Source organism: Homo sapiens, chromosome 5 (genome assembly GCF_000001405.40).
Source record: "Homo sapiens chromosome 5, GRCh38.p14 Primary Assembly".
Taxonomy (NCBI): domain Eukaryota; kingdom Metazoa; phylum Chordata; class Mammalia; order Primates; family Hominidae; genus Homo; species Homo sapiens.
This window is the reverse complement of record NC_000005.10, coordinates 88,673,567-88,700,714: the sequence shown is the minus strand read 5'-3', so window position 1 is coordinate 88,700,714 and position 27,148 is coordinate 88,673,567. Positions and strand designations below refer to the sequence as shown.

The 27,148-nt window shown below is 46.0% G+C and overlaps 3 long non-coding RNA genes across 13 annotated transcripts in view, besides 10 other annotated features; 2 read left to right on the top strand and 1 right to left on the bottom strand.

Moving 5' to 3' along the window:
• Nucleotides 1-24,497, bottom strand: part of MEF2C-AS2 (MEF2C antisense RNA 2) — a 46,614-nt gene extending 22,117 nt beyond the window's left edge. The window contains exon 1 of the long non-coding RNA NR_146284.1: nucleotides 24,452-24,497. This is a non-coding gene — a long non-coding RNA (MEF2C antisense RNA 2). The remainder of the gene's footprint in view (nucleotides 1-24,451) is intronic.
• On the top strand, nucleotides 3,571-8,958 carry GSCAR (glioma stem cell association long noncoding RNA). Its single transcript, XR_007058863.1, has 3 exons — nucleotides 3,571-6,498; nucleotides 6,941-7,168; nucleotides 7,821-8,958. It is a non-coding gene; the product is annotated as a glioma stem cell association long noncoding RNA (long non-coding RNA).
• Nucleotides 3,802-4,781: an enhancer, noted in NCBI's record as "OCT4-NANOG hESC enhancer chr5:87991751-87992730 (GRCh37/hg19 assembly coordinates)". NCBI's record gives its function as "activates a minimal SCP1, AML or CMV promoter by ChIP-STARR-seq in naive H9 embryonic stem cells {active_cell/tissue: H9 hESC(naive)}" and the evidence as "EXISTENCE:reporter gene assay evidence [ECO:0000049][PMID:30033119]".
• Nucleotides 9,298-9,524: a silencer, noted in NCBI's record as "fragment chr5:87987008-87987234 (GRCh37/hg19 assembly coordinates)". NCBI's record gives its function as "represses an EF-1alpha promoter that drives an FKBP-Casp9 reporter gene in an ReSE screen in HepG2 liver carcinoma cells, and both phorbol 12-myristate 13-acetate-treated (for megakaryocytic differentiation) and untreated K562 erythroleukemia cells {active_cell/tissue: HepG2 | K562 | K562(+PMA)}" and the evidence as "EXISTENCE:reporter gene assay evidence [ECO:0000049][PMID:32094911]".
• MIR9-2HG (MIR9-2 host gene) overlaps nucleotides 9,674-27,148 on the top strand; it is a 152,776-nt gene continuing 135,301 nt past the window's right edge. For 5 of the 11 annotated variants that reach the window (NR_152235.1, NR_015436.2, NR_152237.1 and 2 more), the window contains 1 exon segment: nucleotides 15,890-16,057. This is a non-coding gene — a long non-coding RNA (MIR9-2 host gene). 11 annotated transcript variants of the gene reach the window in all.
• Nucleotides 10,080-10,759: an enhancer, noted in NCBI's record as "NANOG-H3K4me1 hESC enhancer chr5:87985773-87986452 (GRCh37/hg19 assembly coordinates)". NCBI's record gives its function as "activates a minimal SCP1, AML or CMV promoter by ChIP-STARR-seq in naive H9 embryonic stem cells {active_cell/tissue: H9 hESC(naive)}" and the evidence as "EXISTENCE:reporter gene assay evidence [ECO:0000049][PMID:30033119]".
• Nucleotides 10,760-11,438: an enhancer, noted in NCBI's record as "NANOG-H3K4me1 hESC enhancer chr5:87985094-87985772 (GRCh37/hg19 assembly coordinates)". NCBI's record gives its function as "activates a minimal SCP1, AML or CMV promoter by ChIP-STARR-seq in naive H9 embryonic stem cells {active_cell/tissue: H9 hESC(naive)}" and the evidence as "EXISTENCE:reporter gene assay evidence [ECO:0000049][PMID:30033119]".
• Nucleotides 14,835-15,458: an enhancer, noted in NCBI's record as "H3K4me1 hESC enhancer chr5:87981074-87981697 (GRCh37/hg19 assembly coordinates)". NCBI's record gives its function as "activates a minimal SCP1, AML or CMV promoter by ChIP-STARR-seq in naive H9 embryonic stem cells {active_cell/tissue: H9 hESC(naive)}" and the evidence as "EXISTENCE:reporter gene assay evidence [ECO:0000049][PMID:30033119]".
• Nucleotides 15,459-16,083: an enhancer, noted in NCBI's record as "H3K4me1 hESC enhancer chr5:87980449-87981073 (GRCh37/hg19 assembly coordinates)". NCBI's record gives its function as "activates a minimal SCP1, AML or CMV promoter by ChIP-STARR-seq in naive H9 embryonic stem cells {active_cell/tissue: H9 hESC(naive)}" and the evidence as "EXISTENCE:reporter gene assay evidence [ECO:0000049][PMID:30033119]".
• Nucleotides 20,025-20,214: a silencer, noted in NCBI's record as "silent region_16164". NCBI's record gives its function as "represses an Ori minimal core promoter by ATAC-STARR-seq in GM12878 lymphoblastoid cells {active_cell/tissue: GM12878}" and the evidence as "EXISTENCE:reporter gene assay evidence [ECO:0000049][PMID:35858748]".
• Nucleotides 20,240-20,740: an enhancer, noted in NCBI's record as "H3K4me1 hESC enhancer chr5:87975792-87976292 (GRCh37/hg19 assembly coordinates)". NCBI's record gives its function as "activates a minimal SCP1, AML or CMV promoter by ChIP-STARR-seq in primed H9 embryonic stem cells {active_cell/tissue: H9 hESC(primed)}" and the evidence as "EXISTENCE:reporter gene assay evidence [ECO:0000049][PMID:30033119]".
• Nucleotides 24,423-24,988: an enhancer, noted in NCBI's record as "OCT4-NANOG hESC enhancer chr5:87971545-87972110 (GRCh37/hg19 assembly coordinates)". NCBI's record gives its function as "activates a minimal SCP1, AML or CMV promoter by ChIP-STARR-seq in naive H9 embryonic stem cells {active_cell/tissue: H9 hESC(naive)}" and the evidence as "EXISTENCE:reporter gene assay evidence [ECO:0000049][PMID:30033119]".
• Nucleotides 25,426-25,525: an enhancer, noted in NCBI's record as "active region_22758". NCBI's record gives its function as "activates an Ori minimal core promoter by ATAC-STARR-seq in GM12878 lymphoblastoid cells {active_cell/tissue: GM12878}" and the evidence as "EXISTENCE:reporter gene assay evidence [ECO:0000049][PMID:35858748]".

Here is a 27,148-nt window from a genome sequence, read left to right as displayed (position 1 = left end):
TGGGGTTTATTTAAAAATTTACTGTTGGTATGAAATAACTGTTACAAAGAATGATAGTTCCCTTCACGTAGCTGAGTCCTGGAGCCCAAATAACTGTAAGAAAAGATTAGCAGAAAAGTATCCAAGGTGTTCTAAAGGATTTGAAGGGGATATCCATATGACAAATGTACTTATTCAAGGCAACTGTTTAGGCAAAACCTGTGTCAGTTTCAGTCTTTGTGACAAGGCATGGACAACTAGTAAAAGTAGTTAAAGTGTCAAATGTGGTGCACAATGAAAAATCAAAAGGGGGAAAATGTGAGAGTCAATGTTTGGACAATTGACATAAAAAAATATGGGCACAATATGGCAGAAGGTGGGACAAGGTGGCCTCCTGTATAAATGCAATATGCTCAATGAAAGAATGTTTTATATGGGCATGTCAACAGTCAGCCTAATCTGAAAACCCAGCCATCAAGTGCCAGATGAGGAATGCCAAAATGCCAAGAAATATATCAAGAGGTAAAGAGAGCCAATAAAAAAACTTCCATCTTGTGGCAGTTTTATGGAAAGGATTTACATAGAAATCAAGAGCTAATAATGAGAGCATACAAATTACTGTGGAAAATGATGATTAGTGATAATAATTGTTCAAGAAAATGTGTGTCACCTGCCTCTAAATGTTAATTTACTTTAGACTAATGAATAATTCAAGCATCTAAGCTTAGGAAATACCCCACTTCTATCACTATTTCCCTAGTCAGGCCAAAAGGAGAGGACAACAACTGAATAGACCCCAACACCAACCTATTCCTTCCAAGTAATTTCTTCATTGCCTCTGACTGCCTGGTCATGCTGGCTAAGTCCTGAAAATCCCTTTCTTCTTTTTTTTTTTCTTACAACATTTCCTCATATCTTCAGGATTTCCAGGAGAGAAAGTAAGAGCAAAAATGAAGCAGAAGGAAGAAAAAAAGGAGGAAGAGCAAGAGGGGGAGAAGGATCAGGAAGAGGATGAGGAGAAAGGAGAAGGAGGAAAGAAAAAGAAGGGAGGAAGAAAAGAAGGAAAGGGAAAAAAAAAGAGAAAGGAACACACCAAAAGTATCCTCCCTCCAAATGTTAAATGCATTGAAGGAACTTACTTAGTTTTAGAAGTGTCCATGGAGTCTCACCAATTATATCTTACAGAAGACTCCTTTTGTTGCTCAATGTGAAGTTCTCAAAGTTAATGAATAAACAAATTAATCAGTTTCCTAGGCGGTGTGATTTCAGGAACAGCGGCTTTAAAAATAATTTTACCTTCTCCTGTCTGGTTTGGAAAGTCCATAATTAGAGAGTTTCTCATTTGCTTTCTAATTTGATATAAAGTAAATATCTCTAGGACATAGCCAATATAAATCTCTTACACTTTAGTATGAAATTTTATCAGATACTTTTCTACAGTTGATTGAAGAAACAAGGAGAGCCAGATACAAAGGGTGCCTAAAGAAGGAAGGAAATGAAAGCAAATGGAAAAATGACTAGATGCACTGCAGTTTATTTTTCCTGCTTGCAGTTTTACCTAAAAGGATGGTGACTGTCACTGTACCTCTAACTTGTGAGAGAATCATGTTAATTATTTTTGTGTGCACAGCACCAACCATAGAGTGCCATACTATGGATGTTTGCTGAATTAATGAATAAATGAATGCAAGTATTCAGTGATTACTGTAGTCTTGATATTTTGTAAAATCTATGCATAACACAATCCCTTGCTACTAGCAAGTTGTCTTCTAAAAGAAATGGTGTACGTAGCAAGTATTCTTTCCAACTAGCTATTTCTCTGCATTAATTTCTAAACCAGGTTCTGCCTTATCCCAAACCACTTTAGCTTCTGGTTAAGAAATGTATTGTTACTAGAAAACAAAACAGAACTGGTGCTTTTTTTGTATGCATAATATATACAAATGAAGAATGGCTAATGATCGAGATATCCAAAAGATGACCTATATCACAAATAGACATATTTAATCATTTATTCAATATTTACTGAGTATCTGCTGTGTAATGAGTAAGGCAGGCAAAGTCCCTGACCTCTTGGTGGTTCCTGTAATAGAAGTATATTTAAAAGTGTAAACGAATATAGAAACAAAGCTCTTTCAGATTATTACAGATTCTATTTTTAAAATACAAATGTGGTAGAGAGTGATGGGGTAATGGGTTGAGCTAGTTTGGCCTAGGAATGCTTCCTGAGAATGCAATGAGCATGCAATCATGTTAATTTCTGTGGGAAGTGTTCCAGGCATAGAGAACACCAATTATAAAGGGAAGAAGCAAGTGTTCTGGGGACAGAAAGGTGAATGTGGTTTCAACATAGGAGAAGAGTAGTCTTCTTTCTAGCACAAGCCCAATAATTTAAATTGTCATTGAATGATCTTTTAAAATTAATGTCTAAGAATTATAAATGGGTCTTCTACTGTCTAAATTTTAAAGCTGTCTTAGCTATTTTTTTTAAATTCAGCTATCTTATGTTCCAGATATGCTAGGTTTCAATTCTTTCCCTAATGGGCTTTCTTCATAATTGCACTGATGAGTATTTAAGCATTTATGACAGGCCAGCCTTAAAAGAGTGAGTTTATGTAGTACCATTATGTTCCCCTTACTAAAGTTAGACAACAAAGAGTATTCCCTCCAAACGTGTTCATTAAGATTCATATCTGATTTGAAAAGCTTGAAGGAATTGTGGCCAAAGATTTGCACATTAACACATTTATAACCATCAATACATTAGCCTAGGCTCATTTTATCAAATGACCCAGTCATTACCTTGGGAAGCAAAGAGCAGGGCCCTCAAAGATTAGAAGAAAGGTAAGCTAAGTTTGTTGATGAAGGAGAAAAACAAAAAAAGCTCAATACACAATACGTGATGAAGACAAAACTATTTTTTGCTCAAAATTTTAGCCATTCTAAACCGTGGTTCTCATGTGTTTTTGCATGAAAGTATAAATATTTCCTTGCTGCAATCGAATCTGAGAGATTACAAAGCAGATGAATGTTATTTTTCTAGGGCTAGCTATGATACATTACATTTCTCTTATGTGGTGTTGTGATTGTATCTCACTGCTGATTGTGTCTTACCAGACTGTGCTTTCCTTGGTTTTAAAAGTAATGGCAATGGTAAACACATCATAACAATAGCTTTAAAATGTTAGTATTTAGTATTATGGTATCAGCTATTTTAATTCGAGGATAATCTAATAGTAAATCGAATGTGACTGTAAAACAACATTTTAAAAAATAGCTGCCATTGAAGACCTTCTTTGGGATGGCACACATAGTTCTGAATGTCTGCAACAGTCAGAGGATATGCTATTCAAATTGGCATATCATCCTCAGTTGAAGGTGACATCTTCTGCTTTTTTTTTTCAAAAATACCATTTTAAGGAAAAAATAAACTAATGAGGTTCATTTTCTCATGTGTCTCAGAAATAGATTCCAATGACAAAATGAATGGGAGGAAGAGAAAGGGAAAATGGATGAGGAGGAGAAAAATGAGGATGAGAGAGGAGGAAAAAAGGAGGAAGTGGAGAAATAGAAGAATCCAAATATATTGTAAAAAGACACTTTATTCAAATAAGTACATAATCTCACAGCTGAATACTTTCCATGAATATTCTGACACATTTATTTAAATTTTTGAAATCTTACTTTATGCATGTTATAATGGAAAATAGAGGATGAATCTCTTTATAATTTTATCTCATTTATGTTAAATACAAAGATATTCTAGATCAGAACTAACAAGATGAAAGTAATTTATTAAAAGTATGAAATTTCATTAAAGTAGTATTTAATTTTTTTATGTTGGCATGATTGGTCTATTACCAACAACCTTCAAGGAGCTAACTCTTTTATAATCTTTATTCCTGGTGCTTGATTTTCCTCTTTATATCAATCCACTATGTGTTCCACAATTCTAATCTCAGATTTAAAAAATAAATGGTCAAAGGGAGTGGCAAAATATTTGAATTGCTTTCAGAGGTTTGATGGTAGGACCCAGAAGACATAGAGATTGCCAGAATTAACATAACAGAGGATTCAATGTGCTCCTGTGAGAAGCATTGATTGGGGTGGGAATACAAGTCTGTTTCAAGCTTTCTGTACTGGTAGTAACTACTCACAGCTTCTACTCTTGCTTCTTAACCATAGCTTTCCTTTTTTTTTCTTTCCAGGGCTATAAGATTTTTATTTGATTTCAATAATCTTCCACCTGTATCTCCTTTTTACTTATAATGAAAAATTTCAGTTCTGTAAGACACCAATATAATGACTTACTTGCTTTATCTCATAATATATAAACAGTTGCAAAATATGAATAACAGCACTACAACTAGCAATATGATGATTGCTTAACAGCTAAAGATTATTTTTAGGGTTTTTTTTTGCCGTGATTATTTCTTAAGGTATAAAAAGTCAAATTACTACACAGCTTTCCTTTATAATGGGCAACCAAGTACCATAGGTTGAAGGGCTACTCTTCAGCAGTTATAGCCTCACTTGAAAACTCGGCTGACCTCTGCTAAGAGCTTCCACTTAGCGGTTGGTAGTTGTGTTCAGACTCTGCCTCTGCTACTTACTAGCTCTATACCTTTGTGAAAGCCATTTAATGTCTCTGCCTCAGTTTTCAAATTGGAAAGAAGAGAGGGAGGAAGAAAAACAGAAGGAAAAACCCTATTTTACATGGTTGTTCTCAGACTAAGAAAAAATATATAAAGCATTTACCTCAATGCCTAGAGCTTAAAAATTATTAAGCAAATGGTAACTATATTATTTAGCTCATGAGCCAAATTCTTTCCAGATAAAATTTTTAGAAATCAATAGAAATAAAACTTGCCACGTAAAAACAATTTTCCACCTTCAACAGAAATATATGGGCAGGTAAATTCTGTCTTATGCAAACTTTTGTGGTTCTTTAAAATTAACCGTAGGAGGAAAAAGATTTACAATGTATTTTGGGGGGGAGGGGCGGGAATGGCAGTGAGGGAGACAAGAAATATGTAGGGAAAATCATCTTAGAAAAAATAAAGCTTCTTAAAATTGATATAAGCAGAGGGTGGAAACTGAGGCCGGGAGATTATTACTCGTCCACGCTTACAGGGTGGGGTGGGGCAGCGTTCTCCAGGGTTTCGCCTTTGCCGAAGACCCGCTCCACCTTCTCTCGACCCAGATGCCCTTGTCGGGAAGAGTATGCTGTCCTCAGTGCCTGGGACAAGCTCACAAGCCCTCGTCTGTTCCAGGAATTCCAGTCCAAGCTCAGTCCTCTCTCCATCCCGGGGCATCCTAAGCGTGTCTTTGAACCGCACTGTGGAGTTTCACTCCGAAAGTCCTTCTTACAGAGCAACTCCAAGGATGGGCTGAAAAGCACATAGAGAAAATGGAACAGTGCGAAGTTGGAAGGTCCGTGCGGGTGGCAGCGCCAGTGTGGGGATGAGATGCTCACAGGACGGTTTTTAGGCGGCTCACAAGGGTTTTTTCTTTCTTTTCTTTCTTTCTTTTTTTTTTTTCTTTTTTCTTTTTCTTTCTTTTTTTTTTTTTTTTTTGAGACGGAGTCTCGCTCTGTAGCTCAGGCTGGAGTGCAGTGGCGCGATCTCCGCTCACTGCAACCTTTGCTTCCCGGGTCCCGGTTCAAGCGATTCTCCTGCCTCAGCCTCCCGAGTAGCTGAGATTACAGGCGCGCGCCACCATGCCCAGCTAATTTGTGTATTTTTAGTAGAGACGGGGTTTCACCATGTTGGCAAGGCTTGAACTCCTGACCTCGTGATCCGCCCGCCTTGGCCTTCCAAAGTGCTGGGATTACATGCGTGAGCCACCGCGCCCGGCCTCACAAAAGTGTTTTTGAAGGCTCCATTCCCGAAGACTGAGTGAGGTATTCGATATCCTCCTCCCTCATTGAAAAGTTGTGTAACAGGAATCTAAGTTCATGCCGTTTGATTCCCAAGACTTCTCCAAGCCGCACTGTAGAGCAGGAAAATCGACTAATATTACTGCTCAGATTATCATCATAGTGGCCATTTAAGATGGAATGCGACATCAAGGGTAAACTAGGCATTGAAAAATTCACTTTCAGACCTCCCTTCCGTGCCTCACTCTCCGGCCAGTCCTTTTCCCCATTCGCCATTCAGGCACTAAAATTTTGCAGTTTGAGAAAAAGAAAAGTGAGGAAAACACAAGAGAAAAAACGCGAGGCTTTTCGGGTTCTTTTTTATATATAGAATAGCTTATATAGTCCAATTTTATTTTCTAAATCGCCCCACACATAAAACGTATAACTCTAGCCAAGATGAAGGAAAAAAGAAATGTAATAGTTGGGAGCAGAGAGAAATAGCCAGCACCACCCCCCAGCGCAGAGCCGGGGCGCGGGGCCTCGGGTCGCCCCCTCCGGCTCCTCTGACCCGAGACTCGCCAGGTCTTGGACATCCTCAGCCTGCGACACCGTTCCCAGGACGGCTCATCACCTATTATCTCGGACTCCAGATTTTGTGTGTACGTGTGAAAATTTTCCACAAGAAAGTGGGAAAGATTGTCGGTCCTGTTCCCAGCGGGTGGGGGCTGGTGGGGGGTTCTTGTCTGTCTTTGAGTCTTTCCATCCGCACCATCAGCTGAGGGACAACAGGGTAGGGGTGGGAGGGGGAGTGTAGGGGAGACGACTCGGGGGCCATGTTCTAAGAGACTCTGGGAGGTAAAGTGTTTTAGTCCAGTCTTTTCTAAATCTTACTGGGGGAAAACCCTGAACAGGAACCATTAGAGAAGAAGGCGACCCCTCTAATAACCCCTATAATAACAGGGCCCGGCTGCTGGGCATTGTCAACAGGGAAATAACTCGGTCGCTGCTTTTCTGGCGAAGACGTGCCATAGCCTGGGATAGTAGCCTGGGGTCACAGGGCCACACCGAAAGCCCTCATCTCTCTCTACCTTCTCTCTGCAGAAAAAGCGTGAGGCTGCTCCTCATTGACACCCACTTAGAAGTTGGTTGATGAAGACTGCAGTGAGCACTCTCAGCAAGGGTAAAACTGGCACATTTGGGCCTGAAATGGGGTCCTCGGGGCCTGGTAGGCTCAAGTATGCCCTTGGTAATTTCCAGCTTACAGAGAAAAGAAGAGCGTTCACTTTGTTTCTGCTGGCAGGGTGAAAAGGGGCAGCTACGTGGCCAAAGGTGAGTGCTCAAGTTTGCAAGGGCCCAAGATAATAGGGACTCTGATTTGGAGACTGCTGGAACTTGAGCAGTTTGTTCTCCACTTCTGGTCCTCTTGCCTCAGGTGTGCGGTTGCCTGGCCAACAGGAGGTGGGTCCTTTCTGTGCGCCCCAAGTGGTGCCAAGAGTGATTCGCGCCACTTCCCGGGGGCATGGAGGTTAAGCAAGGCCGGTAGGAATGTTAGTGAATCCTTGCTTGGGGGTCCGCACGGTTTTATTTGTTTTGTTTTTCTGACTAGATTCCAAAGTTGGTGAATTTTTCTGCTCTGGGGTTACGGGGAACTCCCGGGGCGCAGTGTAGGGAAGGTCAAGGAAAACTACTGCTCTCCCATAGGCGGTTGCTGTGTGTGAGTCACGTCTGGGCGTTTTAAAATTGAACATTGTTTTGCTCACTGTTTAGTTTTCTGAAAAGACCGTTTCTTAAACTATTACAATTCAGTTATCTCCATTAAGATTGTATTTCTGTTGCAATATATATTTAATGTTTGGGCTTTATAAATGCTGTTTCCCTTAAGCAGCTCTCAGTCCTTTCTTTGGACCACAATAAAATACAGCTCTTAGAAATCTTTGGTTTCCCTGGGTTCATTTTCATTGCGTGTTCCTCATCCTGCCAGGTTACACGTTTTCCCTCACTGCGAACTGTCAGCCTTATTCCGAGTATAGCCACCACTGACTTCTGACCCTGGACGGTGTCATTCACCGGGAACTCTTAACGTCTCCGGCCGAGAAAGGAGGGGACGGTAGCTAACTCTTTCGGCGGAGCTGAACCCCTACCCCCTCCCTCCTGTGACCCGAGCCTACTGCGAGACCTGGACACCGCCAAGTGGGGCAACGTTTCGCTCTTACAGCAGCTTCCCGACCTCTGCTAACTCCCAGGCCATTTCAGAAGGCGCAAAGGGGAGAAGGAAAAGTTCAGAGAGCAAACGTTGCTCTCTAGCCTCCCCCAACCTCCAGTTCCTCTCTTCCTTCCCCTGCTGTCCAAACTTCATACTGTCCACCAGGGGAGACTGCCCCCCGACTCGGCTGTCCCTCACTAACGCGGTGGTCCCCGACCTAGGGTCGCAGATGCACTTCCCGAGGCACATGCGGGCGCAACAAGGTAACTGCGCTCCAGGCGTGGAACCCCAGTCCTGAGCGATGTGAAACCAACCCCAAGCGGGCTGTGCTCACAGTTTGGGAAAAGGTAATGTCTCTGATCCCCCCATATCCACCCCTCCCCCAACCCTTGAGGACAGATTCGGGTACCGCAAAACCGCCAGGCACAGAAGGGAGGAGAGCTGGGACGGACAGGCTACTCCCGGGGAGGGGATCACCTCCACGTTCCCGCTCCAAGCGGCTGGTAGCTGCTAGTAATTCAGACTTCTGGCCTCGGAGGAAGAGTGCCAGGGAAGAAAGAGACTAAGAAATCCTCAAACGCCCGTAGAACAAGACCCGGGAGAAGTGCCCAAGTGGGCGCGGCCGTCGGCGAGGTCAGTTTAGCCTGTACTGGACCGTGGAACCCTGAGCGCTGAGGCTGTGGGGTCGCGGGATTCTACTGGGCCTCGCCAGCTTCCACAGTCTGCTGCGGTCTGTGGAATGGGGAAGGATAAAATACAGACTTTGGTTTATTTTAAAAAATGGTATTCTGCCTGAACTATCAGGTCCATGGTTTGCTTTTGGCGCTTGCAGAAGCACCAGGACGATCTTTCCAAAAATTTCTGCAGTAGTTTAACTAACCAATGAAATAAATGAAGGTTAAAAAACCAAAACAGATCATTTTCTCCTCTTGGCCTTTATTTTATTTTTGTTAAGCGAAGGGGTTCTTTTGTTCTTATTTTTGTCTTCTTATTTGCCTGAGGGGTGTGAACTCAGGAGCATCTGGACCTTTCCACACATCATTTGTTCGATTACTTTCTTGTTGTTGACCCAACTAAGCTTTTTACGTTTTTTTTTTCTCAATTCTTTACAGAAAAAAAAAAAAATCTTGGGAGTACTGATGAACTTTGTTTACAGAATCACACTCCGACTCCTTCCCCTGAATCGCTGGTGCCTCCGGAGCTTTGAAAGCCCTGCTTTTCTCTAGGTTCAGAAACCAAAGTTATTCACGCTCACTTCTCAAACCCTTTCCATATGTTCTTCTCTCGCTGGAAAAACTGATAAGTAACAATGTGTGTGTGCACGCGCGCTTAAATTGCGTTTAGATTTCAGATACATCAGAAGAGCTAAGGTCTTTGGTCGACACCACTTGCTGACGGCTCTTTCTCCCTTAAATTGGGGACTTGTGTCCCTCCCTTGCATTGGATTCAGAGGAGACACGCGAGCAGCTGCTCAGGAAAGAGTTTTCTCTGCTACACGCTCACTCGCGCTGCATATCTCCTCATGTCCACTAGAGGTCACTGGCCCCTCGCGGCTCGCGGTGCTACCGGCCGCCTCCCGCTCCTGAAGCTCAAATTAGCGCGTTAATTAACACCCGAGTCCATCAAGGCGCGTTCCTCAGTACAGTACTCCAGCAGGGCTTATATAGACAAACCAAACCCAGCCAAATCAAACCTCCCCAAATCCAACATTTCCTGCATGTCCAAAATGGGAGACAGGCGCCTGAGTAACCCGGGGCAAGGTATAGTGCAATCACGCTTTAACTTTTGTTCTGTGGGGCTTGCTAAGTTGCTGTGAAGATAACATTCTCTGCGAGCGCAGGTTCGGCGGGGCCCGGCTCCGTTCTCCAGCTCTTCAAGGCTGGGCAGCGTGAGTTTTGGCCCCCGCAGCACACTGGTCCTCCGAGCGAGTTTCTCCAACACGGTCGCTACGGGGAAGAGGGGCGCAGGTCCACACCGTCCTAGGCGCACACGAATGTAAAAGGAGAATATTTGTTTAGGATATGATGCACAAGAAAATGCCCAGATGTGGAGAAAAGAAATATAAAATATGACGTTTCTCCTGCCTTTTGATGAGAAATGGGGAAGGGGCGGGGGTTGACTGTGGAGACCGACGCCGGGAATTGACTCTGGTGATTTTAACGCGGGAGCTAGGGGGGTGGCTGCGATGTCCAGAGAAGGTCACTGACTCTTGCTTATTGTGCGTGTGTGTGTGTGTGTGTGTGTGTGTGTTTAAGGTCCACACGAAGCTTTGGGTCTAGCTTTTATTTTATTTTATTTTATCTCAACCAAAGCCCAATAAGCATTTCCCACTATGGACTGGGAGGAATTAGTCACGTCTCCAGGGCCTCAACGAAATCCTTAAGGACTGCATGAAACCAAGCCCAAGTTACATTCCAATAGCGCTGTCCACGATCGTGATATTTGTAAATCGCCATGACGAGTCCCTTTGACATGGTGCCCTAGTGAGTGGAAGAGGCGCCTCTAGAGCTCTTAATTCTTTTGAGAAAAAATCTTGGAAACATTAATTCGCGTTCTGACAAAAGGGTTTACAAGGCTCGGGGTCTTTTGCCTTAGCGGGGAGCAGGAAGTTTGGAGAGGAACAGTGTGGATTCCTAGGAGTTTGGGGACTGACCTTTGTTTTTCATGGGATCATTGGTGCGGACCCCAAAGATCGGGACGGTCGGGCCTTCACTAGAGAGGGATCCAGCGTGTTAACCACCGTTTGCCCCAACTGTTCAGCCGTAGGCAAAATTAGCCTGCCGCGCCCTCATTGCGGGATGGGGCTTCTCCTGGGTTAGTTTAATGATGGCCGATTAATAAAGCCATTGTCCGCCTTCAGGCGAAAGCAGCAGCCGGGGCGGGTTATGGGCCGCGTCCACGTGTTAGGCCACGCCGCAGGCACCTCCAAGGTCCGCATCAATAGCACCCAGGGGGCTGGCGGGAGTGAGAGCTTCCGGCAGCCCCGCGGCAGATGAGTCCTCCGCTGGTGACGGGGTCGGAGGGGGCATCCCTGGAAGCCCGCCCCAGTCTGGAGGAGAAAGGGGCGTCCAATGCTTCCTGATAAAGCTCTGGGACTTCGAAACTGCGGCTATTTTTTTTTTATCGCAGTCCCAAATTATTAGGGAGCAACCCTTGGAGCATTCCCTGCAGAATCCAATCCCTACCTGAACCCCCAATGAGGGGCCGCCCCCCATCCCACACTTCGTTCCTCTTCCCCTTCGCCTTCGGCTTGGGCGCTACTGAGCCGGCGTTCCAGGTTGGAGCAGTCGCCAGAACCTGATCTAGCTCCAGGGCAGGCACAGGTGTCAGCTTGAACTGGCATTATGTAATGGATTTGGCAGCTCTGGCTCTTTCCAAACGGAATTAAGAAAGGTGGGGCTTTCCTTTTCTTTTCTTGACCTTTTATTTTGACTACATCTGGTCAGGTGTACTCAATCCGTGGCAGCAGGTGTTATTGCAGGAAAAGACGAAGCGGAATGGCGGCAGAGGTTAAAGCACTCCCAGGGAGCGGCCCAAGAGAGGCCCGGGGGCCCTGGGAAGAGCCTCAGCGACCCTTCCCTGAGCCACTCACCTGAGGCCGTAGCTGCAGGCGACCTGAATTTCAGGCGCAGGGGACGAGGAGTGAGCAGCCCCTGCTCTCTTTGTTTTCTGGCCAAAACCCCTCTGGTAGAAACTGTGGGGCTCCCTTCTGATTACTATTTGCCTTTTATTAGCCTACCTATCACCCCACGAGTGTGGGAGAGTGTGAGTTTGGACCCAAAATCAGGACATTCTAGGTAAAATACCCTTGCAGGCGACAGGGAGCCCCGCCTTCATCTCAGAAGCGTTACCTGCGAGCAGCCTCCGCCAAGCAGTTCTCTAAAAATTAGCCAAACGGAGCCCCCCGAACCCCTTCTAAGCTGCAAGACCACGGGGCTCTCGTCCAGGAGAATTTTAAAAAACAATTTTGGTAAGCTCTGGAAGGGAATTTCATACAGTCAGTCTCCATTTTATTAGATACAAAAGAAAACTGAGAAATGATAACATCTCCCTCTCCAAACTGTCAGTTTACTTGTGAGTACCAAATTACTGCCATGATGGAATTTGATGCTAAGGGCTGGTTTGAAGAGACCTAAGAGACTTTTGTAGAGACCTAAGGAAGTGTTTGAGCCTTAAAAGTGAAACGCTCAATTTTGGGAGTAGGCTTACTTTTAAATGATAAAAGAGAATAGTTTTTAAAGTACCAATTCAAAGACTAAATTTGAGTCTCTGAGTTGAGTTCTAAAAGGAGCACTCATTAAAGGTGATAAGAAGATTTAAAACAAACATTTGGAGAGTTGTGGCAAAAGAGGCTGGTGTCTACATGGTTATTTACAGGTGATGTGTCATGTATCCAGACTTCTTAATTTGGACTCGTGAATTCAGCCCAAAACTCACACCTATAACGACTTGAGTAACAACTATACAAATAAAAATGTCTCTTTCTGGAGTAGCTTCCATTTGCAGAGGCTGCTGCCAGGAAAGCTGGTGAATCCTTTACACTGGATATTTACATGGGCCTGAAGTGCCCCAGTACCTGTGTGTTAACTGTAGCACAATGCCATGCAATGGCTACCTATAAATGACATTTAAAAAAATATATTGTAAGAGATAAGCAGGGAGAATACTAACATCTGCCAGGAAATTTTTAAAAACAAAGTTCAAACTAGCCCCATTAAATATGTCATGGTCAAAACTGTTTGGTGGTGAATTATTTTTGCCTTCCCTGCTGTTGCCAAAGCCATTGATGATCACAGGAGACCTCAGCGAAAGGAATCAGGAAGCAGCACTCTCCCCCACCTTTTTTTCCAAACGCACATGAGTTTCTTCGTGAATTCCATTTGCTGGATCTCGTCTGCCAGCTGAAGATCCTGTACTGATCTGGGTAGGGACCAGCCCCCACACGCAGCCGTCTGTTCCTGAGCAGAACTTGGAGGTGTAACTACATTTTCATGCCAACAGGACAAAATGATTTCGCTCAGAATCAGGTTGTGTTTTCAAGTTACCTTTCCTGTCTAATCACGTGGTGCTTATAAGACTGATAACCTTAAAGCACACTCCTCAGTGCCGGCACCATAGAACCTAGTTGAGCTTTGGGGGCTTTTCTTGAGTACTTATAAAAGATTCCACACCTTCCAGAGGGGCAGGTTGTACGTTGTTGGGACATCAGCGGCTACTTGGTGTCTAATTCAAGCCTTCAGGTGTTTTACTAGTTAACAAGTGTAAATTTCCCAGGTTGTAAATGGTTTAAGAGGGGAAAAAAGAAAGGCAAATTATCAAATTGTCTGTTTAAAACATAGTTTTGCAACTGCTAAGTTCTACTTAAACATAAACCCAAATTTCTTTTGTCCTCTTCAATAATAAATTACTTTCTTTTATATAATTGTTCTGTATATCAAAGCTGTACCTTATTGAACCCCTCACTTTCCTCCGTGCAACCCAATCCTGAGGCCTCATTAAAACACTGGCGAATAATTTTAAAGAAAAAAAGGGAAACTCTCAAAAATGATATTCAATATGCAGGGCAGTTTAATTATTTAGTAACTGTTAAACAATGAAAAGTGTTTTCTCTCCACCATGCCATCGTACTATAGCCTGAATGTTGACCTTACACAAATATCCATTTTTCAACGTGTAGCGATCCACCGAGAACGAACTCTTGGCCTCAGAAACTGAGTCTCAAACAGGGCGAATTCATGGGGGTGGGGGTCCCGATGTGTTTAGAGTGTGTGCTCCAGACACTGGGAACACGGGTGCGGGCTGGGCGGGGGTCTGCGTGCTCTTTGCTTCCTCTCTTATCACTGTTGCCTGAAAGAATTTTTAAAACACCACCTGGGTTGGTAAAATATGATCCTCATTTAATACAGTGCGTAACCGGCTCGTTCCGCTGAGAGGATTTTTTTTTCCTACAACTAACATAATTTTCAAGGAGCAACTTCTTTTTGTTCCATTTTCCTTCAAAACTATGCTGGGCACAAACTAACAACATTTTATCATTCTTATTCTGAAATAAGATTTGGCAGGTAAGTGAGTCCTACAACATGCCAAATGTCCCGCAATCTACCGTTCAGAGATTCCTTATGCCACCTTTGTAACTGTGTAGCAACAGTAATCCCTTAATTAAGTATACAAATGTACAGTTCACCAACCCATCTAGTGGTTTCACTGGAGTGGGAGAAGGGAGATGGTTACCGTGACATCATTGTTATTATTTAAACTGCTAAGGGAGAATATAATTGTTAATAAAAGGCTTCTTCTCCACGCCCCTCAAGGTTCCCTCCCCCCTGGCATTTTATGACGTGCCATCCACAATGAATGTAAGTAGAATTATGTCGATCCTGGGAGCCTACTCTCTAAATATAATGTCGCACAGGTCAGCAAGGAAATGGAGAAGAAAATTACTGTATTTAGGGGTAGTTGTTTGAGAAAATATGTATTTACAAGTGTGGGGTATCGGTATTAAAACTTTGTCTCTTTATGAATGTGTGTGTGTGTGTGTGTGTGTGTACAGAGGGAGTTCTATAAACGGGTTGTGTGCATCCGTTTTAGAATCCTCGTGTTTGTACATTAAAAGGCTGCCATGTAATCATTCCATGGGGCTGGTTTAGTGCATTTAACGGAGAACTAATGGGTAGTCTATGTTGAAAAGCATGGTCCTATTTTTTAATCCCATCACGTACTGAAACGGTTTTGTGAGAGTCTGCGGCTTTCACCTTTATCCATCGTGGATGCTCTTGTTCGAGAAATCCATTCCAAACACTTTTAGTTCCTGATCACTGCTAAAATGCTGTCCCTTCTTTCTATGCAACTGTTCTTTATTTTTGGCCTATTTTTGTCAGTCTTAGCAATAATGATAAACAATCCTTGCTGCATTGAAACTCAGTTGAAATGATCCGGTGAACCCCTGCCTTGGTCCTTGCTGCAAACTGTAATCTCAAATACTGAATATGGTCGGACTTGGTAGTGGGATCCAAGCTGCAGGAGACCGAAGCTACTTTTTCGTTACCTTCTTTCTAGCCTAGAGCGCGCGCGCTATGTACACACACACACACACACACACACACACACACACACACACACACACCTCGGTAAAAGCAAGCTGAGATGAGGTGAGGGGGTGTTCCAATGTGAACAGAGACGCAGGGTTCGGGCTGAGGGAGCCTGGGCAGTGGGGAAACCGACGGCGTGAGCAGTGCCGGGACCAGGGGCTATGACTAAGGTGGGCGCCCCGCGTCCAGGAAGAGGACGCGAGGAAGCTGCACGAGCCTCCGGCGCTTGTCTGAGATGCAGAAGTGGATGACCGGGCTCCCGGGCATAAAATCAAAGTTCCGTGGAGCTTGGAGCTCTTAGACAGCGACGCTTGTCCGAGCTGAGAGCCCTCCGTGGTTCGAGCTCGCGCGTGGAGCGGCCTCCAGCGCTCGGTCTGCTAGGGTAGAAGCCCATGAAGGGGGTCCCGCGGCGCTAGCTTTTGTACGGCCCCGCCTTGGCCAGCCGTGAGCTGACGCACCGGCTCCCCTGGGACGCTGGGGGCGTCGCACCGCAGCTGGGTGGGGAGCAATTTATTCCTCGCCGTCCCATCCCAGCCCATCTTTGGTTACTCCACCCTACCCCTCCCATCCCTCCTCCTCCTCCTCCTCTTCCTCCTCCTTCTCTAACAACGCCCGCACTACCTTCTGATTCTCCACCTCCTCTTCATCCTCCATCCCCCTTTTACTTCTCTCTCCCCCGTCTCTCCTCCCTCCCGCCTCCTTTCTCCCTCTCCCCCTCCCTCTCTCCTCTGAATAAGCAAGCTTTTGCCTCTAAAAGTCACAAGTAATCCTCGTGTGTGACAGAGAGAGAGAGAGAGAGAGAGAGAGAGAGAGAGAGAGAAACGAGCTGGCGGAGAGGAGCAGAAGGCAGGAGGGGAAATCTGGCACAACGGCTGGGAGAGGAAACTTGATGCTTCTGGGCCACCATTTGCCAGGGCCTCGCTCGAGGTAAGCACACTGGGGTCCCGCGGAGTCCGTACCTGTCAGGGTCCAGCCCCCGCCCATAGCCGAGAGATGGGCACCCTTACCTGGGCTATTCAAATAATGATCAAAATGGAACGGGGATGGGATGCGGGTGAGGGAGTGCTCCAGCCGGAGGGCCCGGGGCCCAGAGGATGATGTGCGCCTGGAAGCTTGGACCCCGGGCTCTTGCCCCTGGGCACCTTGTGCCTCCAGCCAAGGTTCCGAGCGACTGCGTGGGGCTCCAGCTATCCGATTTCCCTTCCTAAGTCGCGCGTTCGACAGCTCCCTCCTTTACACACCCGCGTGCAAATGAGCCGCTGCTCTGTCATGAAGTGAGAATGTGAGCCTCTTTCAAACCCTAGAAAAGGAAAGTTTGGTAAGGCGGGGGCTGCGCAGATCTGCTGTTCTCTGGAACCTAAACTGGGAACCCTAGACTTGCGCAGAAAATTAATAGTTTTCCATTTTTCTTTAAAAAAATTAACTTCAACGAAAAATTGTGTGTATTCAAAAAAATTATTGGATTACCATGTCTGATCAGCTGCTGATGACCTACCAATAAGCGTTTTAAACACACATGCACATTCACGCGTGCGCGCGCGCGCGTACACACACACACGCGCGCATACACACACACACACACACACACACACACACACACCCCAGGGGCTATGTGCAGTGAGGAAGGCCGTCATAAGTAACTAAGAATTCAGAGGGAGTCGCAAGGGCTTTTAAGTGTGTAAAGGCTGTGTACGTGTCCTCCTTGTTACAGAGAGCAGAGGGAGGGGGCAGAGGGAATGAGCGTCGGCTCGGCGTTTTCGCTGTGCCTGTGTGTTTCGCGTGTTGTCAGCTGGCTCTGGTTTCTAAGGGCTGAGCGCTGCCAGGGGCGGGGGCCAGCATCCACCATCCACCTCGGCACCCTAGTGGTGAAACAGGACTCATTTGTTTGGTGCAGAGCGGTGACGACCTAGAAGAGACTGGAGTGTGGTTAGGTCGGCCCCCTGCCATCCATTACACCTGCGGCAGATGGCTCAAGTGGTAGAATGGTTTTGTTTGCCGAGATCAAGAAAGGAGGAGGGGAAAGCTAGAGCCTCGCCCCACTCAAAAGAAGTACCATAAAGAGCCAAAGAAATGAAAGAAGCCATATTCGTACCATCAAAAGCAAGAATGTTGCTGCCTTCCAGGAGTTAACCTGGACACGTTAGTGACTTTGGTACCTGGCCCGAATTGATAACGACTGAATTTTAGAACCAACATTTTTCAAATGTATTTTTGATGAAATGCCTACTTCTCCCTACACACACACACACACACACACACACAACACACACACACCTATCTCCAGGCAGATGCACACAGGTGTCCTTGGAGCTCTACTCCCTGAAGCCAAATGTCAGTAAGATCCTGCGGATTTCCAGATGAAGGAAGCCTCTTGTCTCCCCCCACTTTTTTCAGTCGGCCTGCTAGCTTCCACACACAAGCCCCTCTCGCAAGACAACCACCTGGCTGAAATTTAGCCAGGTGTCAAATGTATCCATCTCATTTTCACGTGCAATAATGTGCCTTTCTGATCAATCTTCACATCCTTGCATCCATTCCTTCCTCCCTGCTACTCAAGAAGCAAGAAAGGAGCACACACATCCTCCCAGGCAGTCCAGAGGAAAGGCAGGCGTGACAAAGAACACAGACACAGTCTAATGACAATTTAGCCTGTCTTCTATTCCTTGACTTTCTTGTTAAATAAGAGGAATGAAAAGAAAAATATATTGAGGGAGACCTAAACAGAAAGCCTTGTAAGCCTTGTCTCCTCCCTTACTTCACACAGTCATCACGATAACACCCATATACAAATTACCTTTATGAATATGCTTATTCACATTTAATGTGAAATAAAAAATTATTTTGCTGGCCTAATTTTCTGTACTGAACAGTAAACATTCCTTCTACTAGAGTTTAATACACTAATGCTTTGGGGATGACTAGCATGAAGAGAAATTCCACAATTTTTGAAACAGAAATTCTATTTTTCTATCTTCTTTAATGTCAAATCAACATTTTTTAGTTAGTAAAACCAAAGAATATCAAACAATGAGAGTCCTTTCTAGCTAAGATTTTGGAGTCACAAATAAAGCTACATCCTAAAAAGCCAAAAGGAAAGGAAAAAAAAATCAACCCCTGCATTTATCAAGGTGCTTTAAATACCCAAAGACACCTCTGAACTGGGTTTTGTTGATGGGTGCTTGTTGTGTGCCCAGTGTAATTTTTTAATAAATATTTTCCTGTGCTATGAATGTTTCCATTTTTATAAGGAGAAAGCTGACTTTGAAATGCAGTGGGAAACAGGATTTGCCAAGAAAAAATGCCAGTAGGATAAAGCCCAATTTTATTATTAATAATATAGGTTTATTTGTATATCATACAAACTGCTAAGAGTCTCTTCTTCGATGTGAATTCCTGTATTATCAGGACACAGTCAAATCCACTTGTAAGAAAATTTAAAAAGAAAAAAAATACTTGCAGAACAGAGTTGAAATACAGGTTTCCTGGGCCTTTTAGTGATTTCTTTTTAAGAGGGAGAGAGAGGGGGACCTGACCTAAAACTCCTGGCTTTAGAGACACTAAAAGCTTCCAATTGTATTTAAATAAAACAGAATTAGCAAACTTTTGTGACTGTAGAGAACGAAGACAAAAATTTAGTCCTAATAAGCTCTCCCACCTTCCAGGCAAAATCTTTTAGACCCTAGTTCTAACCGGTATGTAAAGCTAAGAAAAATAATTTCCAAAATGAACTCTTGAAATTTGAATGGAAAAAAACTGCCTTTAGTTCTGAGGTTTGTTAATAAGCAATATTTTACATAGAAATCTTAAGGAATGAAATTAGCTCCGATACCCCAGTGTTTCGAGGAAAGGGAATATGTTTTACTTTTGAGCAGGTTAGTATAAGAATCACACTCAGCCAGGTTTCTTAGGCCCAAGTGAGCCTCAGAACCTGAAAAGGGGAAAAAGAAGGCATCTTGGGGCATAATGGAAGCTGAGGTTCCCCCCTCCTCTACCCGCTGCTGGGACCAACATCACATCTCCTTCCCATATGAAATGGCTATATGCTATTACAGAAAAGACTAGATAAGAGAAAGTGAATCTGGAATACATGAATTGCTTTTTTGCCATCCCCAACCTTGCTGAGCTTTCATCAGACCTGCCATGCCTTCACAACCTCTTACCTTCCCCAACATAAGCCAACAACCGAAGCCATGTCGCAGAAGATATATATGTAAATGTATGCACACATGTGTATGTGTGTGAGTATATATGTACACACACATATGCATATACTTTATGTATATATTTGCTTTGGTATATATGCTTTAAATATATATATTTATATATGCATATATACCTGTAGTTCTCAAAAATATCACCAGTAGCCCAAATTTGCCTTTATTTCAGGAGTAATTAAGAAGATTGTAATTCTTAAAGAAGAGCTACCAAATTTCACTCCCTGGCGGCAGTCTCAGGGCGCACTAAAGGTGCCCGAAGCTGGCTAGCAGGAGGGCTCGGCCGGTTCGTGTGCCCGGCGCCAACCGCTGCCTGTGAGTCTGTGTCTTTGACTCACTCATTTCCCCGCTTCAGGGAGGATAATGAACTCTTTTCTTTTCCTAATTTGTAAAGATATCTTCTTTAGTCAGTGCTGAACTGGGAAAGGCGGTGAAGAGGCCTGGGTCATGAACCTGAGGAGGTCAAGGCTCCGACCTCTGCTTGGGTCTCTCTCATAAAACCAAGGGACGGTGGGCAACTGCATCTGAGGGTTTATCCGGTTCCCCAGAAAAAATGGGCATGCGTGTGTGCCTGTGTGTTCAGTTCCATCCTACAGTCCTCCCAGGGGTCTCCAGAAAGCGTGGCTTTGTCTTCTCCAGGGCGGACGAGTCCTAGAGCAGTCCGCAGAGCCTTCGGTGAAGTTTCCCGCGGCCTCCCAAGTCCACGGAGCCCGGCACCCCGTCCCAGGGCAGCCCTGACGGCCCGGGCGCGGTACCCATGCGGCCAGTAGGTGTCGCTGTTCCCCTGCCGGCGGGAGCCAGGAGCCCCGCGCGGGCCCCCAGCGCCACTCAGCCTTCCGCTCCCGGCAGGTTCGCAGACCCACCGGAGCTCCCGAGAGAGGGCCGCTCTACCCGCCCCCGCCCCGGGACTGTGCCCGTGCTCACCTGGCTACCACCGTAGCGACACTGCCGGCCTAAGGAAGTACCTTCGGGGAGAGAAAGGAGAGACGGGTCTGTTGGGGCGAAACATGGGCCCCGACGGAAGCGGCTCCGAGCCGGCTTCTCTCGTGGCTCCCAACTCTCCCTCCTTTCTCTTCACGTGCCATGGGCGGCGGTGGGGCACTGAGGGCCTCCTGGTAAAATCCGAAGAGGGGAGATTCAACCGGGGTTCCATATGGGCTTTACGAATAAACAAGAGGTTGAAAATCCCAGCTTCGTGGGAGCTAGCTACAGAAAGAGTGGATTGGTTTCAATATTCTTGCCTCAAAAAAAAAAAAAAAAAAAAAAAAGAAAAAGAAAAAAGAAAAAGAAGAAGAAAAAGAAAAGAAAGAAACCTAGGCCTGGCTACATGCGTGGGCTACATACCACCTTGTACACACATGAACACAGAAGTGCCGGGTAACCGCGATCGCAGTCCCCTCCCCAGGCCCAGGAAGGAGCCAGTATTTGGAATGTGGTTGTCTTTCCCAAAAGCGTTGCTTGCCAAATATTATTTCCTCTTGGAAAACCTAGCAGTTAGCGAATCTTTGGAATCTGCATTGAAATGCTAGGTATTGAGAATTCTGCGCCCTTCTCTGGCGTCCTGCGGCTCCCTGCCTTCGGCCTCAGTGTGCCGCGAAAGAGATTATTAATCAGAGGCGTTCTTTTTGTATGTGTTTCAAAAGAAGGGCGTTTGGCTTATGAATACCTAAAGGGACATTTACAATGGGTACATCCTCTAGGTGACTGGAGATTTTAGTATGATTCTGATTGTTTTGTACAGGGAAATCACTGCTCTGATTTGAGGATAGGGAGAGGGAGAGTGAGTTGAATTGGCTAAATTCAGAATCAGGTGCTATTCAGAGTTAGTTTGCAAAATGGAACTGGCTATGTGTTTAAATTAACGTCTAAAATCATATCTTCAGTCAAAATGTGACATTTTGCAGTAAAATTTTTTAAAAGATTCACATATTATCTGTAAAATTTAGGTAAAAGGAATAAATTCGTGAAGAAGAAAAACGTAACAATAAAATTTGAGACAGGAAGAAAAAAAATTTTCACTTAAAGTCCAAAATATTTCGGAACACCTCTTGTTGCTGGCCCTGGGCCGCCATCTCACCATTTCAGAGGACATGGTTGGACAACTGCCGAGTCGTTAAGGCAAGCCTTAATTTTTACCGTGAGGTAGCCAACATCATCTTTAAATGTCATATATTTTTCGCTATGTTTCATAAAATGAGCTTCTTTCTGCTAAGTCCTATATCTGTTATACAATTCTAAATAATTATTTCTGATTGAGACGGCAAATTAATCATTCGGTGACGTGGTGGTGAGGGGAGAAACACGTGTCTCATTGGAGGTTGTGAAGTTCAGTGAGGTGGTATTTTTAGCTTGAGAAGTCCAAATTCAGATATTTGGGTATTTCTCCCCCTCCCACCGTTTCCCCACCCGGTCCCCATTTTACTCTCTCTTTAACTCAACCCTTTGGGTTCTCTTTCTCCTTTTTCTCTCCCATTCTCGCTTCTGTTTTCTCTCTCCCCTTTACAGCGCCTCTCCCTTTTTCTGTCTCTTCTTTCCTCTTCTCTTCTCTCTCCTCTCATTTATTGTCTGATTCTATGTCAAGTTAATATAAAAGTAGCAAGTGGGAGACCCAGTACCCTCAGCAGACCCTCTCTCCACCGCGCGCAGGGCACTTTGGGGAGTTGTCTGTCGCTGCCAGGTTACCGGCCAGAGTGGTGGCTCTTGGTGCAGGGCATGCTGCTCTCGGAGGAGTTGGGGTCTGCGCGGGGTTGCGGGGCTTATTCAAATACCTCCCGCTGCTGCTGTGATTCGCAGGGACTCGGCCTCCATATGGTAATGCGGGGCGGGGGGTTGGGGGAGGCGCAGAAGGGAGGGGAGGGGAGGATGGGGGTGAGGGCGGGGTGGGAGGGGGCTCCGACACTGCGCGCTCGGCTGCCGGGCTGGGACAGAGCACCCGGACCCGCGGCGGCAGCGGCAGCGACGCTACCCACCCTCTTCCCCAACACCCACCTAGCCAGCGAGTCACCGAGCCACCGGCCCTCGGGGTAAGCCACAGCGCGCACACGGCAGCGACGGTGACGGTTCACACGCTTTGGGTTACTACCATGCGCCAATAAGGGAGATTAGAAACAGAAAAGGAGATTACAGAGAGATCAGAGATAAGAGGTGTACCTCTCTGTGTTCCTTGTCACATAGCGCGCGCGCGCACATACACACGCATCTGTACACACATGCATGCTCAGCCGTACACGCACGCGTTCCTTGCTACTGCCATCTAAATATATGCACCGACACTCTATGCCCTGCAACGTGGCCGGTGTGTTTGTCCTGATCCTACATAAAGGTAGGCAGGTATGTGGGAGAGTCCAGGCAGGAACAAACAGCCACGCGCAATTTAACTGCAGCCAAACTCAAAGAGACCTTGAGCCTGCCGAATTGTTTCACTCAGCCAGGTGCCCCCCAGAAACCGGCTATTCTGCAATCAGTTGTGGAATCCTGCAATTATTCATAAAATGTGCTGAAAATGTATTTTAGGAAACGTAATCTTGCTATATATGGCAAGGTAAAGGCGAACCTGAAGGATGAATGTGTTTCTGCTTTTTAATGTCATACGTGTAGCCATCTGACCACTTTTTATTGGGTGACATATCATATGAGCACTTTGGTGTAGGCTTGGAAAAACTACAGCCAGAGGTAAGGCTGGAAATTCCATAAGAGTTAAGGGTGCTGAAAATGGATGCTGGATAGTCCAGCATGAAAGATGGCATACCGCTTTAGGTTTGAAATAGGGGGAAATACATGTGAATATTTATACATGAAGGCCATTGGGGAGGGCTGAGTCTTGGCCTGAGTATCTGTGCAGGTAAGTCATTCATAAGAAAACTAATTACCTGTGCATGTACTTGGACTTGTTTAATTGAATAAGCTGCATGTGTGCATACTTGCTGTTCTTTCAGGGTTTGCAATTATAGATTGAGTCTTTTTTAAATGATAGCTTGGGGGAATTAAAAGGTGGAAAAAAGCCATCGTGCTGCATAGCTATATTGCCAAGAAAGAGAATCCGATCCTATAAACAAGATTACCATTGCTTGAAATCTAACTCAAGGCCTGTATATTTTAAGCCACATCAACTGGTTTAATATAGCCAATTGTTTTATTTGTGTATTTGCTTTCATTTCAAAGTCAGGAATCAAGGATGCTTTTCAGTCAAGATAATGTGCCTTGTTTCCAGCCATATTAAGATAAAAATGAAACTCAGTAAATTTTGAATGCAGCCAATAAGGTACAACATACAACATGGTTGAAAATGTCTTCCTTGCAGAAGGCTGTCCATTGCTGTGTCTACCCATTTTAAAATATATATATTTTTTTCAATAAGAAATGCTAGAAAGCAATAGGGCGGGGAATGCCGCACCTCTCAGGCAATCAGCACAAAAATTATTTAGAAATCTTTGGAATCACTTCACTTATACATACATTATCTCGAAAGCACTGGCCCCGAACTGTGTTTCTGCTAATATGAAGTTAATTAGACAATCAAACTTTGAGCCTTGAGCGATGGGCACTACAGCCCATCAAGGTATGTCAAGAAAGAAAAAAAAATGTGTATTTTCCTTTATGACCAAACCAGGAGGTTATACAGCTGGCATTGCATACATGACAGATGTGCATATTTGTAACCTTAAATAAACAGAAGCAGGGAGGTAACTGTGTATATTATCTAGCAAGAGACAGCAGCAGACACTCGCCAAAAAAGACAGAAAGGGACAAGAGAGACACATAGACATAATAAAATAACAACAATAAAAATCCTCCAAAAAAAAAAAGAGGGAAAGGGAACCAATAAAATGACAAAATCTGAAATTCTCGCAAATTAAAAAATGCAAATATACCTTTACATATGCATCAGTATTAAAAATAATACACGCTGGAACCAACAGGAGCGAGAGCAAGAAGAGGAGGAGGAGGTGGAGGAGAAGGAGGAGGAGGAGGAGAGGTGGAAGAGGAGGAGGAGGAGGAGGAGGAGGAGGAGGAGGAGGAGGAGGAGGAGGAGGAGGAGGAGGAGGAGGAAAGAATGGAGGCGCCGCGGAGCCCTGATTATGCATGGGCTGGAGCTGCCTCCTCTAACCTGTTCTTCTCCGAGCCGGGCAGCCGGCGGTCCTCAGCCGCCCACAGAACAGGAGCCGAAACAACCGTTCTCGAAGGCTACAGCGTTTATTTTTCTCTTTTGGGGGGTTTTGGCGGTTGTTTCAGGGGCTCGCCAACTGGCCCCTTTAATTAAAAGCTTCAATAAAAGGCGATCGCGCCAGGAATGCACCCGCTCCTCTTCGCGCAGGATTTGCATATTTTTTTAATGCCCTAATTTCCTTGATGTATGTAAATGTAGCCGGACGTAGAGGGAGACAGGGAGCTGACGTCAATGGACGTGACCTCGCAGCTAAACCTTGAACGTGAAGCCGGGATGGGGGAAAACACGGAGCGGCAGCCGGCGGAGCCCGAGAGCGCGGGCGGCGGCGGCAGTAGCCGAGCCCAGGCCGGGGTGCCAAGGGACCAGTGCCGGCCCCGGGGGAGGACAAGCCGCCGCCTTCTTTCTGCACCGCGCGGCTCTCAGACTCGCCAGCCTTCCGGCCGCACACGCAGACTCTTGCCCTGAGCTTCCAGCCCCACCACACACACGTTCTTTTGCTTCCCTCAGAAAAGCAACACTCCCCAAAACAACAAACCAAAATCAACAGATAAAACAGATGTTTTAGACCAATGCTCGGGTAGCTTATCAGAAAGAAGACTCTGACCACGGAACATATATATTTTTTGGCTTCTCTCCACAAGAAGAGGAGCGAGAGACCACAGACAACAGCAAATCACTCCTAAAACACGATAACTACAAGTGCTCCCTGTAGGGAGAGGTAAATCGCCCAGCCGACTGGTGAAGTCTTCTGGTTTCGGTACCTATTTACCTGTGCACTCATTATGCGCCTCGGCTTCATTAACGGCAGGATCATGAGCGCGCGTTTTAATGTGATGGGAGTGCTGTGTTGTGTGTGTGTGTGTATGTATGTATGTGTGTTGGGAGGTGCTTGCGCTAGTGAGCACCGAGGCAGGCGCTCTGAGCAGAGAGAGATCAGTCTTTCCATGGCCACGTCTGGGACTCATCTGCGGAGCCATCTAGGCCAGGGCTCCTAGATTGGGGTTCGACTTCACCCCATGTAAAAAGAGAGGCCAGCAAAGGCTTCCCCTGAACAGCCAGGTCCTTCCCATCGGATTGTTTGAGGAAGGAGGCTTGAAGTGTGAGCCATTCTGTAGCCGCCGCCTTGCCGGATTTGGCCTGGTGTTTTGCACTTGAAACTCAGCGGCCTCAGCGCGGAGGTAGTGCCTCTCCGAGACGCGGCCGAGGCCTTGTCATTCCCCTCCTTCCGCCCGCGGCAGCCCTGCGCGCCGGCGTGTGCGTGCCCGCGCACCGGACCGCTGGCACCTCCCTGTGCACATCCGCCCCCTCCTCTGCTCGCCCCCTCCTCTGGGGCAGCTAAGAAATGGTCCTCGGCCTCTTCTGGGCCGGAGGGCAGATCTACGAGCAGGCAAGAAAGGGGCGCCGGTGGCTGTGGTGGCGACTTCTCCGCTCTGCCCTCGGCCGCCAAGTGTGCCGTTTCATCGTTCCACCTCGCAGCCCCAGCTTTGTTTTCCTGACATGTTCGTGGCCATTGGGCCCCACGCCTGCGAGGGGAGTGTGTGCGTGTGCGCGGGGGTCGGGCGCGCGCGGCGGGTGGGGGCTCTCCCGCCAAGGACACGCATGGCTGTCTGTCCTCCGGCTGCACTTGGCGGGAAAGCTAGGGGCCGCCGGCGGGGCTGAGCGCCAGCGGCTGTCATTACCGCCTCCCTGCTCCCCGCGGGCTGCATTTACATACGGGCCACTCGTCTGAATTTTTACGGCACTCTTCCCCCTCCCGTACCCGGTCGCACGCGCGCAGGCTCGGAACTACCACCCCGGCACGCAGACACCCGCGCCCAGAATGCGGCCAGCCCCAGGCGCGCAAACAGGCCCACAGGGGCCGACGGCACTCGGCGGGACGGATTCCTGCACCGCCTCCCCGCACCCCCGTGCCCACACCCCTGACAGCCTCTCCGCTTGTGTTGCAGGAAGCCCACCTTCCCCTCGAAGCCCCCACCCTTCTCTGTCTGCATACTTCCACCCCCACCCTCCCACATCTCTCCGTCTCTCTTTCCGTGGAAGGCAGACGCGCGCGCGCGCGCGCACACACACACACACACACACACACACACACACCCGCTTTTTCTTCCTCCTCAAATAGATGACCCCTATGGCGCGTCCCTGGTACATTTAGAATACCTCTAGAGTTTAGAGAATAAAATTCTTTAGAATGCATTGCTTGTCTTTAGCTAAACACATTTAACAACCACGACACAAACGGGGAGGAGTGAAGAAGGGGGACTTGAACCAAAAGACCTTTAAAAAAAAAAAAGTCTGCGAGTCAAAAGGTCATTCTCCAAGTTTGTAAATAAAATTGCAAAGGGAGTCCTTAAGAAAGGAGAGGAAAGAAGGGGAAGAAGGTTAGGAAGACTCACAAGTTACATAAAACAGTGCATTGGAAAAACGACAGGGAGATTCTGTAATAAAAAAAAAAGAAGAATCTTAAGAAACCAAGAGAGAGAAAAAAAAACTGGAGGAAAAAAGAAAAAGAGAAGAAAAGGATTTTAAAAAAAAGAAAAAAGCAAAAGAAGTTTCCAAAGAAATGTGTGCTTTGCATCCTACAATAGGAAAATGTAGCCATTGCCTTCCTTCAGACGAGACATTTCTAATTTGTTCCGT